General features: G+C 34.2%; 1 long non-coding RNA gene across 1 annotated transcript; it reads left to right on the top strand.

The window, feature by feature from the left end:
- The first annotated feature begins 475 nt into the window (after positions 1-475).
- Positions 476-11718, top strand: LOC105378310 (uncharacterized). The gene is made up of 3 exons (XR_945975.1): positions 476-595; positions 7034-7274; positions 11539-11718. It is a non-coding gene; the product is annotated as an uncharacterized LOC105378310 (long non-coding RNA).
- Positions 11719-22329: the final 10611 nt, after the last annotated feature.

The following is a 22329-nucleotide window of genomic DNA, read 5'->3' on the forward strand; positions in this document are numbered from 1 at the left end:
AGGATTGAGGCACACTGCTTCAGGGACTCATAGCAGAAAGCTATGTGTGGAAAGCAAATTAACATTTCTTTCCTGTTACATTTATTTTTAGTTTTAATATATATTAAGTTAGGATTTCAAATGATTACAAGAGATTGCTTGAGATTTTGTCTTTATCAAGAGAAGTAACTGGCTTAAAAGAGTGAGAAATCCTCATCTACTACATAACATGTTTCTGAGGAACTAGAAGGGATTTCTCAAGAGTCCTAGGATCATAGGGAAGGTGTTAACTGGGCATGGTGGCCTCTGCCTGTAGTCCTAGCTACTCGAGAGGTTGAGGTGGGAGGATTGAGCATAGGAGTTCCAGGTTATAGGAGCATTAGTACATTTTAAAAATCTTCTCATATATTCTCTTACTATTGGACCATGTAAATAATCCAACTGACTCTACCCATTATTACTGCATTTTGTTTTCCTCAGATAAGTTAGTATTTGCTTGACAATATCAACTTGTAAATGAAGAGGTATAAACAAATCATCTTAGTTTCCTCCCCGCCAAACCAGTGGAATAAAATAATATCCTGAATGATTGATACTCTTGCAGAAATACTTTCAGGTAGGAAGAAAATGCAGCTTTTGAAAAATATAACATATTCTTTCTATGCCACAGATGGAGCCCAAATCTATAAGGTGCTTTTATTTTCAATTTGAACTTAAGAGAGGTTTTTGAGATTTAAAAAATGGATAACATAACATACTGCTGGTTGGTAAAACTGTAAATATATATTTTCAATATTTTTATTTTGTTTAAGTTGAGAACTAGATGTTTTATACTACATCATTTTTCAGTTATTTATGCTCATACTTCTACAGGAGAAAGTCATGCACTGACTATATGCGACAACCTCTGAGAATAAAGTTAAGAACAGACACTTTGAGAGACTTAGTAACCTAAACTCTGACAAGTAGGAAAATTCATGGTCTAAGCATGTATGAAGAAGGCTATGCTGTATTTACTTAAAGGATAAACTTGTCTGTAGAGATGGCAAAATACATTGGATATAATTAAATCTAACAGTAATTATTCAGTGTAATAGTGAAACAACACAGATTCCTCCTTAGGTCTTCCTTATCCCCAAAGAACTTGTGCTCAAAGCTCTGAGGAAGGGAAACAACCATCCAAAGATGACATTTTTTAAATATCAAAAGGGAAAATTAGGGAATTACTCTACCAATAATAATAATAATAAATCTACCAGGACTATAATGATTTCACATGGAAATTCTACCAATTTTTAAAACATTAACTCATTTCAATGACCAACAAGTTATTCTATAAAATGTAAAAAATAATACTTCCCATTCTGGTAATAAGTATAACATTACATTTAAATCTGATAAAACAGTACAAAAACCTATAACCATTACCATTCATGTACATCAATTTAAGATATTAAATAAAATATTAGACAGAATTCAATAGCATATCAAGAATAGACTATATCCTGACCAAGTAGTATTTATTATTAGAATTTAAGGTTGGCTTGATATTAGGATCTCAATGAATATCATATATGATATTAATAGAATTAAAGTAAGCTTTAATACAATTACCTCTGTAAGTGCTGAATTCAATACCTACTTCTCACAAAAACATTCAACTTACTAAATAGGAGTTAAGAGATGATATATATTATAATAATTGAAATACTTGCTTTAGGACTAAGAGATACATATATATACACACACACACAAAATATAAAATTACATGTATATGTGTATGTATTCACATTCAACACACACATGCACACTCATATACCTTAATCTTAATTATTGGGGAAATACAGTAGAGGTTTGAGACATTTCCCCTAATGTCAGGAGCAAGGCAAAAATGTTCATACTCTATTACTATTTAAAATTTTAATGGAGGTATGAACCAATATAATTAGATAAGATAAATTAATTAGAAGCATAACAGCTAAAGAGTTAACACCATCTATCTTTACAAGTAATGTAATAGTATGCTTGGAAAACTCTAGAAAAGCAACAATAAAATGATAAAACTAGATTTAACAATAAAAGAATAAAGTAAGTGAGCCAGTAATGAAATAACAAAATTATTAGCCCTCATTTACACATATAATAACAATTGCCAATAGCAAAAAAAACAGATTACCTATTTTGCAGTTAATAAGAAATTTTCAAAATTTAAAGAAGGAAATAACTTTAAAGACTTTTGATAACAAATAGAAAGACATTCTCTGTTCTTAGACAGGAAAAATCAACATTACAAACTTTAAGTTTTTCTCAAGGTTGTTTATAAATGTAATATAATCCCAATTAATACACACATGGATTTTTATAAAGTTAGACAAATTAAAAGTTTATATAGAAAATCAGACATGCACAGATAGTCTAGAAAACACAGAAAAATACAAACTACATAGAAAGATTAGCCATACTGGACATTACAGTATATCATAAAACCTCTGTAATGAAAACATTGTTGTACTGGTCCATGAACAGACAAAACACTGGAATAAAACAGAAAGCCATCACTTAGACCCACTATACATATGGGAATTGAATACAGTCATGCACCACATAAAAACATTTTGGTCAATGATGAACTGTATATATGATGGTTGTCCTGTAAGTTTATAATAGAGTTGAGAGAAATTCCTCTTGCCTAGTGATGTTATAGCCAACGGTTGCATTGTAACACATTACTCATGTGTTTGTGGTTATGCAGGTGGAAACAAACCTTTTGTGCTGCCACTCCTATAAAAGTACAGCACATTCAATTATGTATCTAATACATAGTACTTGATAATAATATTAAACAATTATGTTACTAGTTCATGTATTTACTATACAGTACTATTATTTCTTATTATTTTAGAGTGTACTCTTTCTACTTATTAAAAAAAAATAAACTATAAAACAGCCTCGAGCAAGTCTTCCCAGAAGAAGGCTTCATTATTATAAGAGATGGCAGCTCCATGTATGTTATTGGCCCTCCACAGTGGGACAAGATGTGGAGGGGGAAGACAGTGATGTTGATGATCCTGACCTGTGTATACCTAGGCTAATGTGTGTGTTTGGGGCTTAATGTCTAACAAAAAAGTCTGAAACATTAAAAATTCTTATAGAATAAAGATACAAAATATTTATGTACACTTGTATAATGTACCTGTATTTTAAGCTATGCTATTACAAAATAGTCAAGAAGTTAAAAATTAAAGTTTATAATACAAAGAAGCTACAGATAGCAATGTTTAATTTGCTATTGATGAAAGAAATTTTTAAAATAAATCTAGTGTGGCCTAAGTGTACAGTGTTTATGAAGTCTACAGTAGTACACAATAAGGTCCTAGGCCTTGACATTCACTAACCACTCATTCACTGAATCACTCAGAGCAACTTCCAATCCTGCAAGTTCCATTCATGGTAAGTGCCTTATACAGTGTACTATTTTAATCTCATATATAATGCATTTTCTCAGTGCTCTTTCAATGTTTACCTATGTTTAGATATAAAAATACTGTTGTGTTACAGTTGCCTACAGTATTTAGTACAGTAACACACTGTATAGGTTTGTAGCATAGGAGCAATGGGCTATATATATAGTCCAGATGTGTAGTAGGCTATACATATAGTCTAGATGTATAGTAGGCTATACCATCTAGATTTGTGTATGTACCCTCTATGATCTTCACATAATCATGAAATTGCCTAATGATGATACTTTTTTTTCAGAATGTATTTGTTGTTAAGTGACACATGATTGTATATGATAAACTTAGTATCTCAAGATATGGTGGCAAGAATAAACTGTAAGATGGTGCTGGAGCAACTGGATAACCTTTCAGTAAAAGATAAACCGAGCTTCTCTCCTCAACACATACACAATAATAAATACTTAATATGTTAGTTAACTAAATCAAATATACAAAATCATCAGCTCTAGGAGGGAAAGAAGTGAATTTATTTGTAATCTCAATGTTTTATAAAGCCTTACTTATTTTAACTCCCAAATCACAAACATACGATTGATAAATTTGACCACATATAGTTATCGGGGGAACCAGCTCCCAATATTTCAGTGTAGGTTCTTTTCTATTTTCCCTAAGTGTCGGCCAGTCTGAGAAATAAAGAGAAAGAGTACAAAGAGAAATTTTACAGCTGGGCCTCTGGGGGTGACATCACATGTCAGCAGGTTCTGTGATGCCCCTTGAGCTGCAAAACCAGCATGTTTCTATTAGGGATTTCAAAAGGGCAGGGGGATACGAACAGGGGGCAAGTCACAAAGATCACATGCTTCAAAGGGCAATAAAAGATCACAAGGCCAGGGCAAAATCAGAATCACTGATGAGGTTCCATGTCTCGCTGGGCATGTGTTGTCATTGATAAACATCTTAACAGGAAACAGGGTTCAAGAGCAGACAACTGGTCTGACTAGAATACTCCAGGCTGGAATTTCCTAATCCTAGCAAGCCTGAGGGCACTACAGGAGACCAAGGTGTATTTCATCCCTTAAATTCAACTGCATTAGACAGACACTCCCAGAGCGGCCATTTCAGAGACCGCCCCCTGGGAATGCATTCCTTTCCCAGGGTTATTCCTTGCTGGGAAAAGAATTCAGTGATATTTCTCCTATTTGCTTTCTGCAAGAAGAGAAATATGACTCTGTTCTGCCCGGCCCTGCAGGCAGTCAGACCTTATGGTTATCTCCCTTGTTCCCTGAAAATCACTGTTATCCTGTTCTTTTTTAGGATGCCCAGATTTCATATTGTTCAAACACACATGTTTTACAGTTTGTGCAGTTAACACAATCATCACAGGGTCCTGAGGCAACATACATCCTCAGCTTATGAAGATGACGGGATTAAGAGATTAAAATAAAGACAGGCATAGGAAATTATAAGAATATTGATAGGGGAAATGATAAATGTCCATGAAATCTTCACAATTTATGTTCTTCTGCCGTGGCTTCAGCCGGTCCCTTCGTTTGGGATCCCTGACTTCCCGCAACATATAGTGACACAAACTTTGCATAACAAAAAATTAGGCTAAAAGGCAAAAAAATACCTGTCAAAGTGAAAGGAAATGTTTGCAACATATAGTTAAGACTATGGGCTAACATTAGTGTGTATGTATCTGTATTTACACATATATCTTATAATTTGATGGATGAAGTACAAAGGAACAAAAACTGAATAGGAAAAACACATAAGATAATTCTCAACAAGTTTATGAAAATACCCCAATCTTATTTTTAAAACTCCAATTTATTCATAATTAGATAAATACAGATTAAAATCATACATATACACAATTTCTCTCCTAATCAGACTGCAAGAATGTATGACAACACATTCTACTGGTGAGGCTGTAGGGAAGTAGGTATTTTCCAAATTATCTGATAGAAAACAGGCACCATACATCTGGAGAAGAATTTGATAGTACCTAAAAATATCTATGTATGCACATAACCTTTTAGCTTAGTAATCTTACTTCTAGGAAAGTACCCCCCTGAGAATACATTTTTAACAATACAAGGATACTTATGCACATAGATATTTATTGCAGTATTGTTTAATCCACAACAATGAAAACAACCTAGGCACTCATACATAAAATAGATGATTAAACTATGCTAGATCTACACAGTGGATTACTTTACAGCTATAAAAAAGAATGATAGAGCGGATGCGGTGGCTCACGCCTGTAATCTCATCACTTTGGGAGGTCTAGGTGGTGGATCACCTGAGGTCAGGAGTTGGAGACCAGCCTGGCCAACATGGCAAATCCCTGTCTCTACTAAAAATACAAAAATTAGCCAGGTGTGGTGATGGGTACCTGTAATCCCAGCTACTTGGGGAGGCTGAGGCAGGAGAATCGATTGAACCCCTGGAGGTGGAGGTTACAGTGAGCCGAGATCGTGCCACTGCACTCCAGCCTGGGTGACAGAGTGAGACTCTGTCTCAAAAAAATAATAACGAAAATATGTCTGAACTGAGGTGGAATAAACTTCATAGTATGCTAAGTTTAAATTAAAAGGAAAGTACAAAATGGTCAGTGTTAGACTGGAAACAAATAAATACATGACAATACCCTTGTGACTACTCATTTGTGCAACAGAAATACAGGACTACTCCAGAAACTAATGAGATGAATTACTAGTAGAAAGTACTTGGGAAGGGGGTACAAAAATGGGGACATGGGAATGACTAGTAGGAATAATGAGGGAGTGACGTAAACCTCCTTGTTCAGCTTTAACTCTTAGAGCTATATAATGTTTCACATATTCAAAACATATGTAAGTAATTTATATCAACCAGAGTGTAAGGTAAATAGAACTCAAAACATAAAAAATGATCCTAAGATTGTTACAAGTAAACTAACATAACCACAGTGAACAAGGTGAGGAAGAAATGAACTTAGTAAACTTTAGCCTTAAAACATCAAACATTTTCTTATAAAGATAAAAATAACTATATGCAAATATTATACCATAGTTGTACATTTACATTTTATGTGATTTATAAGATAGACATTCTGAAACTTCTCAGTGTGTATATAAATTTGTAAGTAAATATACTATGGTTAACGAAACTTGGATTTCTCACTGTAGGCAAAAAGAAATACAAATAAAAAATTACAAATAAGGAAAGGAAGAAGCCTAGAATCATCTGTCTTGTAGGATTGGAATTCAGGTTATCAGTAAGAACCCATGGATGGATGTAGAAATGTGTATATGGAAGTATATTCGTTCTCTATTGCTGTATGACAGCTTATGATAAATGTTTAAAACAATACACATTTACTATCTCAAGTTTCTGTGGGTCAGTAGTCCAGGAACGCCTAGGCTGGGTCTTTGCTTTATGATCTTACCTGATTGGCTGGAAGCATTCTTATCTGGTGGTTTAACTAGAGAATAATCTGCTTCCTATCCCATTAGATTGTTGTCAGAATTTACTTCTTTGTCATGGTAGAACTGAGAGCTTTAGTTTTTTACTGGCTTTTGACAGTAGTTGTTTTTAACTCCTAGAGCCCGCCTGGAGTTTCCTGTCATGTGTACTTTTCATTGGCAGTTCACAACATGGCAGCTTGCTTCTTCAAGGCCAGTAGAAGGAAAATCTGCTAGCAAGATGGAGGCTTATATAACATCACACAATCGTTGGAGTAACTGACTTCCCATCACCTTTACCATATTATGTTAATTAGAAGCAAGTCACAAGTCTATCTACATTCAAGGGGAGATAGTTACACAAAGGCATGAATGCCAAGAGGTAGGGGTTGGAAGTGGTGCATCTAGAATTTGCCTATTGTCTGCAAATATAGGTACACATGCATATATTTACTAGGCCTGTCCACTGAAAAGCGATAACAGTAAAATTAGTATAAAAATTGGTAACTTTTCAATTATAGCTAAAAGATTGACTTTTCTCTAAAAACAAAAACTTAAGATGGTCTCTGTCTTCAATGAGGTACAACTTCTTTTGGTGGGCTGTTTCCCTCTACCACTCTACAGCAAATGAAATTTATAAAGCACTGATCTGGCTTAGTTTGATATATCATATATTAAAAGTAATGACTTTTTATTCATGTATGAAAATCATTTTACAAAATATTTATGATATTAAATTTAAATGCTTTAACTTATGTGGTTAATATAGTTCTTTAAATTTGTAGCTGAAGAAAACTAAAAAATTTTTAGCAAATGCTCTTCTCATTGTATGGAACTATATTTCAATGCAAATTTTTATGAATCATGGGAGACATAATTACTTTAGACATGTAGAAACTACGAAAATAACTCAATAAAATGATGCAGCATAAAGCAGGAATAGTTCTTCAAGCATTACCAGAAACAAGGGTGGTGGAGGTCAAGAGTTCAAAAAAAGTCATAGTTATATCAGAATCTGAAAGAAATTAGGTGCAAGAGAAGGGAAAAATAGAGGCAAACCACATAATTGTCATATTAATTAGGGATAATGTCAAGGAAACAGTTGATGACTGCTCGTATGGCAAGCTAACTAGCAAAGGTTATAGAAGATCTTTTAGCAACATAATATCTTGCACGCATGTAATTTATTTTTGAATTCTACAATTTCAACAAGCTGGCATCTTGTTCATCCAAAATTGTCTTAGTAATATGAAGTAAATATAGAACAATTTTTAAGGGAATATTTATGTCTGGCTGTGTACATTAGCCATAGCATAACAAATTAAAAACTAATAACAAAGATGATCATTTAGTAGCAAAACCGCAAGAAGCAAATAAAGGACAAATCAACATAAAATTTTCTAATCGACAATTAAAAAAATAGGGTCAGCATGTGTGCTATTTCAAAATTTTAAAGAGCCTTACACTCACTATAAATTACAAACTTTACCAAAACATTTTTTCTGTAATATTTACAGATGCAACTTGTTAATATGTATTACATTTCCCACCTAGAATAAAACACAGTTTTTACTGTTTTTAAAAAAAATCTATTTGTTAGGGTTCCATTACGGAAATATAATTATTATGAGTTGCTATGGTCTGAAGGTTTGTGGCCACACAAAATTTATTTGTTGAAATCTAATCCGTGTGCAGTAATATTAAAGGTGGGGCTTTTAGGAGGTGATTAGGTCGTGAGGGCAGAGCCCTCATGAATGAGACTAGTGTCCTTATGAAAGAGGCCCACAGGAGGTTGCTTGACCCTTCTACCATGTGAGGACACAGCAAGAAGTCATCTTCTGTGAACCAAGAGCTTTCACCAGACACTGAATCTGTTGGCACCTTGATCTTTGGCTTCCCAGGCTCCGGAATCATGGGAATAAATTTCTACTGTTTATAAATTGCCAAGCCTAAGGTATTTTTATAGCAGCCCGAACAACCTAAGACATAAGTACAATGGAAAAATTAAGTTATTGAAAGAATAAAGCCTACGCTTGTGGGAAAAGCAAGTGTGTCAGAAGATAGAATTTGAAGATCAGACAAAAGTCAACTAACTTTTGTTCCCAAAGCCAGGAACGTTGAATTCCCATAGTGGAAACATAAAGGAGAAGTGGTGAAGTCCATGGAAGACTGTTGCCTCTGCATTTGTTGGTGGGCCTGGGGTCACTTTTTCTATCAAGGCTGACAGTTGGGAAAAAAAAGAGTGATGTGGCCCATGGGACAGTGAGAAGAAGATGAAATTCATCATGGTCTGCATCTGACAATTGCTGTCACTGATCATGATGACATACTGATAGTAAAATTTGTTTGATCTTTCTAAATCTCTCTAAATCTCAACAATTGTATTTTTAGTCAACTCAGAACATAAAGGAAAGAAAATTCTTTGGGACTGTGATTCCAGCTTAGATAAGTTGATAAATTACAAAGCACTATGTGATTGACATGCAAGAAAAAGGAATCCCATGGAAAATGTTATTTATAAATTCCTATGGTAACACATAGAACCTTTGTATTGCCGTTTTATCTTCACTAATATTAGATATCATCAATGCAAATGACAAGTATTTTACTGTGAGATTTCCAACTTTGCAATTAAAACCAACTTTTGCAATTGCAAGGGAATATATAATATAGTTACCTTTTAATTATTTTTAGTATTTCATAAATATACTGTATAGATCTCACCACAAAATCATAGTTAAAAATTATATTCAGTAATTTACTTTCTGTATTCAGAATGTTACTAGTGATGATGACACATAGTAAAGAAGGAAAAGAAATGTAATTTGAAATATCAGCATATTTTTGTCTAGAGTTTTGTCTAGATTTTGTCTACAAGCTAGCTATGCTGCTTGTACCAACACAGGGCAATCAAGTGAAAATGAAAAAGTTTAAACAAGTATCTTACATGACTGGTGCACAAAAAAAATTGTAGTTATTTTTCATTGATATTACTATTTTTCTGAAATGACTAGAGTTTTAAGTTCACATACCTGAAATCTGGTTTTATGTTTGCTTTCTTGTGGTTACAAGTTCTATCAGCATAATATTTCAGAAGATAAACCATAACTTCAAAGCAATGATATTGACCAAAACATCTGACAAATGTACCTCACAGAAGTTTCTGTTTGCACTAAATGAAAACTATTCAAAACCCATTTAAATGCACTGTCAGCCTTTTATACATTGTATAGCACTTTGTATTTCAGGTTTATGAATATATGCTCTTCCATTTTATAAGAAATAAAAGTGGAACTAAGAGCTGGTATTTCAATTTTCAAGAGAGTAATACTGTAGGGTACAGGATTTGACAAGCTTCCTGTAACTCAAGCTTTTCCCAATCTAATATGCTTACTCTTGCTGGAAGAAAGAACCCTAAATATCTGTATTTATTAAGCCTTCTAAGAAACTATTCAAATAAATACATATTTAAAAGTTTCAGTTGAAGACTGACATCCACATGTTAGAGGTTATCACTTCTTTTCTTTTCTTTTTTTTTTTTTTTGGAGCACTGGGAAATGCATGGTTGTAGCCGTGCTGCCTTTCTCAGGCACATTGCTATAATGTCATGGATTTAGGTCCCCAAACTTATTTGCAAACGTTATGGGCTTATTGTGGATTTTACAGTAAGATTTCTTGATAAAGGTGAGGTATCAAAGGAACACTTTCGTCCTGATAACTCACTAAAGTGAGAGAAAAGAGCTTTTTATATGATATATATTGACAAGGACATAGCTGGAGATGGGACAAGGTCAGTGACATCTTGGAACTGCAAAGCAGAAGTAGGGATTGACTGACTTCACAGGTCTAAGAAAGCTGAATCCTGAGTTAATTGTACCGTCCCCAAAAGGCCCTGGAATTGGTAACATCCAGGATCTCTATAAGTGTTGGATAAAAGAGGGTTGTCTTAAAGTCTCATTAAAGACCACGTGGAAGACAGGGCAAAGTGAAAACTTATATAATGAATATTGAACTTTTCCGCTGACATAGTTTGAATATATGTTCCTGACAAAGCCCATGTTGAATTGTAATTCCAATGTTGGAGGTGAGGCCTGGTGGGAAGTGTCTGGGTCAGGCCAGCAGGTCTGTCTTGGCCTGCTGCTGTCCTCATGATGGTGAGTTCTAATGAGGTAAAAATATCTTCTTCAAGGAGGTGATATTTGTGCTGAATCTTGAAAGGTGGTTGTGTTTACATGCAGACTAGGCAGAATGGGGATTTTCAAGATTTTAGGAAAAGATAAAAGAATATGTGAAAGGTTCAAAATGCATTGTTGGAGGAGCTGCATAGAATTAGTGTTCATTCTTCCACTAAACCAAGACATATGGTTGGTCACCCATCAGCAGAGAGTGCACATCAAGATTTATGACATGAAATTTCAAAAGACAATAAAGCCTTGGGATTTGGTCAAGACATTTCCTGGAGGACCTTGAATGACATATTAACAAGGTCAGCTTTTAACCAGTGAGGAGCCTACATCTTTGCTTCCAATAAAAGAGTATTGTCATGTGAAGGAAAGCATTTTAGTAAAAACTGTACTGGGATCATAACTTCCTAAAGCAGTATTTTCATGCTTTATTTCCCCCTTGCTTGACTTTTTCTCTTCCAGTACTTTTCTCAATACTCTGGGAGAACACAGCCTGTATTAAAAATGCTTTTACTGTTGAAATGAAATAAGTCACCTCTACAGTTCTTAAAGCGCTAATGCAGCAATTCATAGTCGGAGATTATTTCTGCACACCAGGGTTTTTGGCTGGAGAACATGTTTCATAATTGGTCTTGGCACAATGTAAGACATGTGAGTAACTGATAAATGATAAAGGCCTGGAAAGACTGTACCTAAACCACCTCTGCTCTTAAGTAGAGCAGCTGAGGGAAAGGGGAGCGGTGTCTCCAAATCCAAACTGTGGCTATGGCACTTATAAGATTTCCTTCAAAGTGAGCAGAACACATATGGTGATCAGGGAATAATGTGTGTAATTATATGGGTGACATGAAAAAAAGTTCAAAGGAAAAAGCAAGTTTCTTTACTGTGTGTAAGACAGATATACTAAAATATCAATCAAGCAATAATTAATGTACCTGTTAAAATGTAGTTGAAAAATAATAGGGCAATAAACAGTAACTAAAAATTACACTCTAATATCTCATGAAATGCATCTCATATAGATGACTTTTCACAAAAGGCAAATTTCATCCAGTTGAAGGAATATATATTTCATGCTATCTTCTGTAAAAGAATAGCACCTTTTAGTGGTCAAGGATATATGAAAAGCAAAGGGTGAAATAGTAATAGTGATAAAATCCTTTCCTTTGCTTGTCACCTCAGGCAGCAAGGGGTTCTATAATTTATGTAGTCCTGTAAGTAATACGAAAAAAGCGAGTACATTTTGAAGTTATGAGAGTAACAGGTGCTATCTGAAAGCTCTAGCTGAAAATGATGCAATATCAATTCTATATACAAATTAGAAAAATGACAGATTTTTGTTTCCTAGTGGGTGGTTGCTTAGAAATAATTTTGCAGGATTGAGTAATGTTTTGGATAAGCACCAATGAATTTAGAGCCTCATCCAATTAGTCAAATGTCTCCTAAAGAAAACCAAGGTTCAAAGAGTCCCATGAGAACGAATGAAATGATGACAGTGCCACAGAGACTCCCGCAATTCTGGTGAGCACAGATTTGTTTAAACCCTCTAAGACCTTTAGGAATCTAGGTCAGCCTCCTGATGAGATGTAACTGCAAACTGAAACTCCACTAAACATCTTTTGGGACTATCATGGGATGCCTATTATTTATGTATTTTAAACTAATAAGATCAATGGCTGCAGTGAATAATAAAATTCAATGGCTGCAATGAATAATAAAATCATAACATTTACCAAACATTAGTTTTCTGTTTCTGTTTTCAGTTAATTATGAAAACATCAAATTTACTGAACTAGACTATTTCATAGAACAGCACAAAGCAATTGATTCTGAAATGGCACATTGCCTTTACATTACTCACATAGGTTTTCAATGACTTTCAGACATTCTTGCTTTTTCTTTATGGCGCAGTTTATTTATCATAAAGAGTTTACTGCATAGTATGGCTAAAAGATTGAAAATTGTTTAGTTATTATGAACTTTTCACATAGGATTAATATTTCTAATATCAGGAATGAAAAAAATTAATCAAGTCATTCTTAAGCATTTAGGAATCATAGACTCCTTAAAATCTGATCAAAGCAGTGGATCCTTTCCCATACCAACCTTTATCTACCGCTGAGGCTTCTCCTTTTCGCTCAGGACAGATGCAACTTGCTTGTCTGATGCCAAGTGCAACTCACTGTATGATGGGTGTGGATTCTGGGCCAAGCTACATTAAATGAGTAGCTTAGCTTAAACTCCAATTTAGGCCTAACCTTAGACATGAAATTCTAGTCTCATAATTCCTAAGTTGGTGGTCTTCCTCATGCTAGGCTACCTTCAATAATTCCAAAGCCAATTCTCTCAACTTTTAAATCTTTGCACAGCCATGGCATGCATATAATCATATTTACACTGTTATTGTGATGCCTTTGTCAGCTTTTGATTAAGCTTTTTATCAGCATCTGTTCTTTGTGACAGTAGCCCCACTCTTTATGGTGTCTTCTCAGATAGTTTTTCTTTATTATTTTGATGCTTTTGGTTTTCTAAGCTGGTGACAGTATTTCTATTTTTCTTAGGTCTATATGAGTTTTGGGTTAGGTGTCAAATAATTCATAAGCTAATGGATATAGGTGAAAATTGTTTTCCACAATCTATATACTACATTACAAACGTATATATTTATAAGAATAAATTTTAAAAGGGCCTTAAAGCATCAAAGGAACCAAACTGAGTGTTTGAGGGTCTTCTTTGGTATGACTTATTTTGCAAAGTTTCAGAATTTTTTGTTTTTAATATGAATTTTAAAAAATAATTTTAGGTAGAGTCCATTTAAATAACCTTTCTTCTAGACTGTGAGGCACGTTGTTTTAAATTTTTATTTTATTTTTAAATCATAATTTAGTGTTTGTCCCTCCGATTTTAAATGCTATAAAAATTCTTCAATAAAAAAATGAATTACAAATTGTCGAGTGTGCTGTGTACAGCAAGCTTAGACGAATAAGGAAAAAAATCTCATAATTCTTACTGGTTTGTTTTTTCTTCTTTCTCCCTTTAAAATAAGTCCTATATACTAGGGATAAATCATACACTCACAGCTCTGAGTGACATAATAGCTACTGAATCAATGTTGAATCGATAAAGCTGTATAGGTGAGGAATACAGAAACAAAGTATCCAAATAGCCTGCATTACGCTAATTTTACACATGTCTAATGATTTTGAGTCATTATATTTGCACTGGATTTCATGTAATTTTAAAAATTTAGAATGGAGATGCGATAATCACTAATCATATGTCCATACTAAAATGACAGTTTTAAGAAACTGCTGATGAGTCTGATTTAACATAAAATCCCTTTATTTCTAGAAAAGCAACAACTTCATTAAAAAATTGAGGATTGTTTTCAGTTAAAAGTTGTTAATATTGTATAAGCATAAACTGAATTAATTAATTTTCTTGGAAATAGTAAATGAGTGAATTTCGCAACTGAATCCATTTCTACTGAAAATTTCAATTTGAATAGAATTAAGAGATAGAGAAAATATGGAACAGGTGGTTTCTGTCTGGATATCTGTTTTAAGTTTAGATATTTAACTAGATCTATTCCAAAGCTATGTAGGTATGCTGAGTCACGAATCTGCACATCAAAAATTAGCAGCAAAACATGTCTTCAAGGTAGCAAACAAGAAATAAGTCACCTCTCTTAGGTCAGGAAGCTAGAGTTGGTAACTGTTAGGTTGATAGTCACATGAAGAATACATCAAAACTACCCAATGATCATTTGCTTTAGCTTCAGACTGACTTATGTTGCAATAAAATTGAACAATACAATGTGATGGGTGGAAAGGGCCTGAAGAGCTTAAAAACAAAGTTATTATGTACGTATCATATGCATTATAAGTAATATCTCATTGAATACTTAAATTTAGAAGTTAACTTTTATTGCTATCCTCATTTCACAGATGAGGAAACAGGTTTAGAGATTATAAATGATGCTCCCAGGTAACTGATGGAGCCAAATGTTGAAATACGTTTGGTTTGACAACAGAATATCTGTTCTTATGCCTCTACTGCGGTTTCCTGACCCTTTCATTGTAGGAAACCACACTTGAGAAACCAAGGATTACAAAGTTGTTTCACAAAGGTAATTAGTGCCAGAACAGTGACTCGGTTCCAAATTCTCTGACCCCCTTCCTGCCCCATCCACACCAGTCTGTCTTTAGATAAGAAAATAAAAACTAATTAAAAAGCAAGCTTTTCTTATATTTCCATAGGTAGAAGACATAATTTTATATGAATCATTGATGGTCCAGAGTTTACTTTGGGTAGTAAAGTGGGCAGGATGCCTACTGTCTGATGATCAATTTCCCAGAGGGAAATGATTATAAAATGTCATTATTACAAAGATTCAGAAGCTGTGCCAATACTCTCCTGCAACACACTTTCATTGTCTTCAAAACAGACTACTGATACCTTGAAGAAAATAAAAGTTCATTCTCAGTGTTTACAGTCTCTCTCTGCCACTTTTCATGATGTATTCTCTATTTTTGTTTCTGTTTCTTGCTTTTTATTAAAATCGGATCCCAGCAAAACAAAAAGTAACATGGGACACTTTGGTTTTCAACTTTGTTCATAGTCAGCATATCATTGGATCTTAATAACAATCACATAATAGAAAAAGTTTTATCTCCATATGCTGAGTGAAAAACAAAAGGCCTAAGTGCCAAAGTGATTGACCATACATTTTACTTTCCCTTGGATAGTTTTGGTTTGTGCCTATTGTTCCGAAGCAATTTTTATTAAGGTTACTTTTCCCTTTTAAAAGTGTACTCATTTGGAGGATACCCTACTTTGATGGCATTATTGAAATAATTCACGTTATTATCCTCCCAGAGTTATCAAATTTAATGCTTATTATTATGTAAAAGAATTTGAGGAATCAAGAGGCAGTAACTGACATCCTGAACTACTTTTGAGATCCAGCCAAGTCCCCAAACCTTTGTGCTATTTATTGCAAGTAACAGAAGTTCAAGTATTCTTTCCACCAAGTGAGAAATTTAATATTGCTCACATAACTAAGATATTTAAAGGCAGGAACCTATACTAAGCACAAATAAAAATCAAACCAAACCTCAAATAGTATCTTTCTCTGTCCCTTTCTCCCTTTCTCCTCTGTCTCTCACCTCTGCTTTCTTCTGTATATAGACTACTTTAGTGTGCTGACAAACATCACAAGCAGCTGCAGTTTATATATATAAAACAATGAATATGTTGTAATCATTGGTACTAGCCTAACTTTTGGCGCTGCTGGCATTGAGAGAGGAGAAGGTTTACTTCCCCAAATAAAAATAAGAAGGAAGAATGGATTATGTATCTTGACAAGCAAACACAATAGTTGCTTACTATTCTGTGTCTTTGTTGAATTAAAAAATTACATGAGATGGAAGTTGCAGTCTTAGATGTGAATCATTTTCTTACAAATTACATGATTAAAATTTTACCATGGTAAATTCCATTCTGGAAGGGAAACGAAATAGTAGTTATTTCTCAGATTTGTGAGTAGACTACTGCAGATACACTTTCCCTGAGATATAAGTTGTGCATAGTTCTCTGAATTTAATTGAACATAACATTCTCCCTTGGCAATTGTTTAACATTCATTCTCTTAAGATGTAGTTAATAATTACTGTGCAGTCCATCCTAGGTCATATGATTCACATCCAGGCCTGGCCAGAGCTGCCCACTTTGGATAAAAGTAACTGAGGATAAATGTATGATTATAAGCTCTGGAGGAACTGTGTCTTTATTTTAGCCATTTTTAGGCCCCTTGGTTCATCCTGAATTCTGCCAACTCTTCCACCATGCATCATCCCAATAGGTGAATAGGAAATACTTGTTAAACTAAAAAATAGCTTAGGTCTAGTAGTTTATTTTGATGCAAAAAGATTAAAAAGATGCTACACTATTCTAGGGCCAGTGTTACATTTTATAGAAACACTTAACAGTAGCAGGATTTTGTTGCTTTCTTGTTGCTAAAATATTAAGCAGTTTATTCACCTTAGTGGTGATTTATAACATATAGCTAATTCATTCATTTATTCATATAACACTGCTATAGTTTGAATGTATTCTCAAAAGTTCAGATCCTCAATGTGGAAGTGTTGGGAAGTGGGACTTAATGAGATGTCTTTGGATCATGGGGGCAACCCCCCAATACAGATTAACACCCTTCTTATGGAAGTGAATGCATTATGACAGTGGGTTAGAAAAGGATAAGTTTGGCATCCTCCTCTCCCTTTATCATACCAATGTTATGCCTTCTGCCATGTTGTAACACAGCAAGAAGGCCCTTGCCAGATGCCAGCAACTTGATCTTGAATTTTCCAGTGTTTGTAATTGTTAGCCAATAAATTTTTGTTCTTTTTAAATTACTTACTGTGTGGTATTCTGTCATAGCAGCATAAAAGGGACTAAGATAAAAAATGGTACCAGAGAGTGGAATGTTGCTATAACAAATACCTGAAAATAGGTGTCTTTGGAACGAGGTAATAAGGAAAGGCCAGAAGAGTTTGAAAAAACAGTGCCAGAGAAAGCCTGTATTGCCATGAATAAAGCATGAAGGGCAATTCTAGTAAGGGCTCAAAAGAACTAGGATATCAGGTGGAAGAAATCTCTAATGAGCAAAATGTTGAAGGAGCTACATGGCTACTTTTAATTGCATAGGGTAAAGATGTGAGAGGAGAGAGAAATGATTTAAAGACAAAATTTATGATCAAAACAAATGTAGAGTGAAAAGACTTGGAAAATTTACATCATGGCCATGTAGAGAGTGAAAAAGCATCTTTAGGAGAGCACATCAAAGGTTTGGCCAACTCACTGTTTGCTAAAGAGATTAGTACCTTTAGAAAGGAGCCAGGACCAGAAGCAGTGGCTCATGCCTGTAATTCCAGCACTTTGTGAGGCTGAGGTGGGTGGATCACTTGAGGTCAGGAGTTGAAGATCAGCCTGGCCAACATGGTGAAACCCCATCTCTACTAAAAATACAAAAATTAGATGGGCATGGTGGTACATGCCTGTAGTCCCAGCTACTCGGGAGGCTGAGGCAGGAGCATTGCTTGAACCCAGGAGGCAGAGGTTGCAGTGAGCCAAGATCATACCACTGCACCCCACCCTGGAAACAGGGTGTTACTCTTTTCTTTATATCTGTTTTTCCCTTTGGGAATGTAAATGTATAGCCTATGCCTGCCCCACTATTGCATTTTGGATTTGTTTGATTTCACAGACTCGATGGCTGAAGTGAATTTGCCTCCGGATAAATTATGCCTTGAGTTGAACCCATATCTGACATAATGAGATTCTGGACATTGGACCTTTGAGTTGCTGCTGGAAAAACTCAAGACTTTGGGGCCATTGGGATAGAGTTAATATATTTTGCATGTGAGAAGTACATAAATTTTGGAGGCCAGAGGTATAACACTATGGTTTAAATGTGTCCCCTAAAGTTCATGTGTTGGAAACTTGATCCCCAGTGCAGAGGTGTTGGAAGATGAGGCCTAATGGGAAGTGTTTGGGCCATGGAGGCAGCACCCTCATAAATGATTTCATGACTTTACTAAAGGAATAGCTTCCTCATAAAAGGATATATTTGGCTCCCCCTCCCTCCTCTTGCCCTTCTGATGCCTCTCTTTAAGTTAGGACCCAATAAAAAGGCTCTCATCAGGTTCCAAAGGTTTAATCTTGGACTTCCCAACCTCCAAAGTCAAGAGTCAATAAATTTCTGTTTATTTTAAATTACCCAGTCTGTAGTATTCTGTTACAGCACCAAAAAATGGACTAAGACAAATACATATTTATTGAGTGTCACTATTGTGCCAAACTCCAGGTTATCTAGTTTCTTCTTAGATTCTTGCTAGTTTAAGAGTAGAGCTAACCTTTTTTTTTTTTTTTTTTTTTTTTTTTTTTGCTGTACTGAGAAACATGTAGCAAGAAAATGTGGCAAATATTCTTAATCAGAAGTGAATATCTATTGCAGTCTCATAAGAAGCTTCATCACAAAACTATTTAATCTAAACTCCCAAAATTTTATGTCTCAGAAAGTCTGGGGAAAATATGAGGGATGCATAATTTTAACACATTCTTCAGATTATGCTTGCCATATACCGTGATGAAGCCTGGATACTTTATTTGAAGATACTCCAGCTGTAATAGAATCTAAAACGTGCTCTATGGGTTATAAGGCAACCAAATAGCCTGATGCACAAGCCAACACTCAGTTCAGCTGCATTATCTGGTGTTTGAAGTGGTAGTGGGATCTCATCAGAGATGCGATTGGAGGTGGCCCAGAACTTGTGGAAACCTGAAATTTTTCAGAACGTGCAGTCAAGGGAGAGTAGGAATTAATGCTACCTTTTGTTTTGCTATGATTAAATTCCTGCCATTTTTAGTTTGGACATAACACATTTCCTAAATGTTAGATTATGTAGGCAAACAGTAATGATGAAAGGTCAATAAAATATTATTTTGTCCAGGGGCCTTACAATAATCTGTCATTGGAATTAAAATATCTTCTCCTCCTTTCTTTTCCTATCCCTTTATTTAAAAGCGACAAAAACTGAGACTAGTTTAGGAAAAACTAGAATTTAATGAATCATGTAATTAGAAAACAGGGACATAAAAAAATGTTTTTTTCTGTCTAGGCCTCATTTCCACCTTTTTATTGCAGAAAACCTTTCCCGCTGTGATATTATATGAGATGGGGAAATAGCTTCAGTCAGCTCTAGACTTACATTGAGCACTATCAAAATGGTGTGAAATAAGAGATGAGTGAGAGGTAATGCCCCAGAAAAAATGTCTGTGCTTGGAAATTTTGAAGTGGCAGGTGGAAGTAGCTTTGGAGGTGCCCTTAAGACAAGGTGGATAGAGGTGCCAGGAGAATGAAAAACAATGACCTGTATATATTCTCCGAATGCTAATTATCCAAACAAAGAACAAGCTCTAAAAGGAGGCTTCTTATCAGACATTAGGCATGATTAGCAAATACATTTTTCTCTGGTGTAGTATTTGAGAGGCCGTTTAGAGTTTAAAACAAAATACTAGCTTAATTATATTCCAAACTCAATTGAAACACTAGGGATAGTTCATACAGAAGCTTAGTATTATTTATTTATTCCTGTTCAGACTATATCTAGCTGTTTGGCTGTTACTGTTGTTTTATAGACAGTTTTCAATTTGTTATAACTCCTGATATTTCTACATTTATTATTCTATGTGATTCTGAAAACTGGTGTGTCATATTTGTATCACACACCTGTTGGCCAGTAGTATTACAGTAATCCTCTAATGAAATCAAGACTTGTGATGATTTGAGGTTTTTTTTTTTTCTCTTCTTTAATTTGTCCTTCACCTTCGCTGTGATTAAATATGTTCTCTTCAATAAGTACTATAAAATGTTGTTCTTTAATTTTTTGGTTAATATAAATAACAGTTTAATCCCAACATCAGAAAGGTAAATGATTTTTTGTACATTTCTCCACTAAAGAATTTGGTATACAAAAATATGGTATATGTTTTTGTTGGTACATTTTTCTACATCTTAATATTTTTAAAATATATTTTCCAATGGATGTCAAAGTAAACGTGCTAGCCATTCTATCTCTTCCTCTCTTCTTTGATCTCATTTTACTTTTCTCTTCTTCCTTCTTTTTTTCCCCTAAAGATCTTACTAAATTTTGCTTTTCTTTATCATTGATAACATTTTTCTTCTTAATAGAAAGGAAATATGATCATTCACGTCACGTTAGGTGAATTGTCTGAATGTAGATCACATCAGAAGAGGTGGTGCATAAATATTTGAGGTGATGGATATGCCAATTACCCTGATTTGCTCAGTACACATTTTATACATGTATCAAAATATTACCTGTACTCCCAAAATGTGTACAACTGTGATATATCAAGACTATTTTAAAAAGAAGAGGCGATGTAAGGTAGCCATTGAGACATTGAGAGCACAGACTTTAGTAACAGACTGTCTCTGTGTGAATCCTGGTTCTGCTTCTTATTAGCTATGTGACTTTGGGCAACCTTTCTGTGCTTGCAGTGGCTCATTTGGAAAAATTGATAACACAAAATTACATATATATCATAGAGTTTTTAAAAGCAGTAAGTATATTAAGTATGTAAAGTGTTTGGAATCATACAACGTATTATATATGTAAAATAACCATTATTGTCAGGCACTATTGGAACTGCATCTTCTCACATTTCTCATAGAACCATATTCATTTATTACACATTTATAAGGGGAAATTTTCATCTCAAGCTTTTGATAAAGGTAGAAATACATTGTTTTTTTTAAAGACAATAATAATGACAGCATTCTATAAATGTTTTTGGTTTATTTTGATTACTGATAGCAAGAAAAGCAGCATGAGCTAATAGGAGTTATTGTTCTAATTGCAGTTATGAGAGGCTTAATAAGGTAAAAATTACAAATTGGATTTTCAAGAAGCCTAAAAATGATACCATGGTTTATGATTAATAAAAATATAACAAAGTCTGAGATATCCTCATGCATGTGAGAGAGTCAGTTAGAATGACTGTGCTCCTGGGAACATTCTGAAATCACAGCAGCAAAAGAACGTGATTACTTCCCTGAAATTTGATTGTGTTTTTTACTTTGGGATCCTGGGAATATAAAAAGTTGAAAACATACAATGTATAAGCAGCAAGATACAATAAGTGAAGCCATAATCTACCATCATAAAAGTTCAAGATAGTATTTTTATAAGTCAGAATAAAAGTTTTAAACTTTAAAATTATATTCTGAGGAACAATGAATTGAAACAGATAAGTATTATAATCACCTTGAGTTTATTACAGGATCATTTAGCTAAGAGGTTGAAAATAGCTTTTTCCCCTGAATTTTATAGGTCCATTCATGCACTGGTGAGTTTTTTTCCCCAGCTTTGTCTTCTTATTTTAAATGTTCCTGTAATAAACATAGGTCCTAGAGATTAAGTTCTTAATTTTTTTACTCTGTTCAAAGTAGAGTTCTATTTTCTAAAAATTGATTGGTAATTTGTCTTTGAATAGCAACTTGTATAACTTAAGAATTTACACATAATTGTCTTAAGAATATGTGACAATTTTTATAAATCAGTCTGTCAAAAATATGCTTTAAGTAAGAATATATAAGTTGTATAACTATACATTTATTTCTACCTAATAGAAAAAAATGGGAAAAAGTGAATTTTTTATATTCAACAT

Source organism: Homo sapiens, chromosome 10 (genome assembly GCF_000001405.40).
Source record: "Homo sapiens chromosome 10, GRCh38.p14 Primary Assembly".
NCBI lineage: Eukaryota > Metazoa > Chordata > Mammalia > Primates > Hominidae > Homo > Homo sapiens.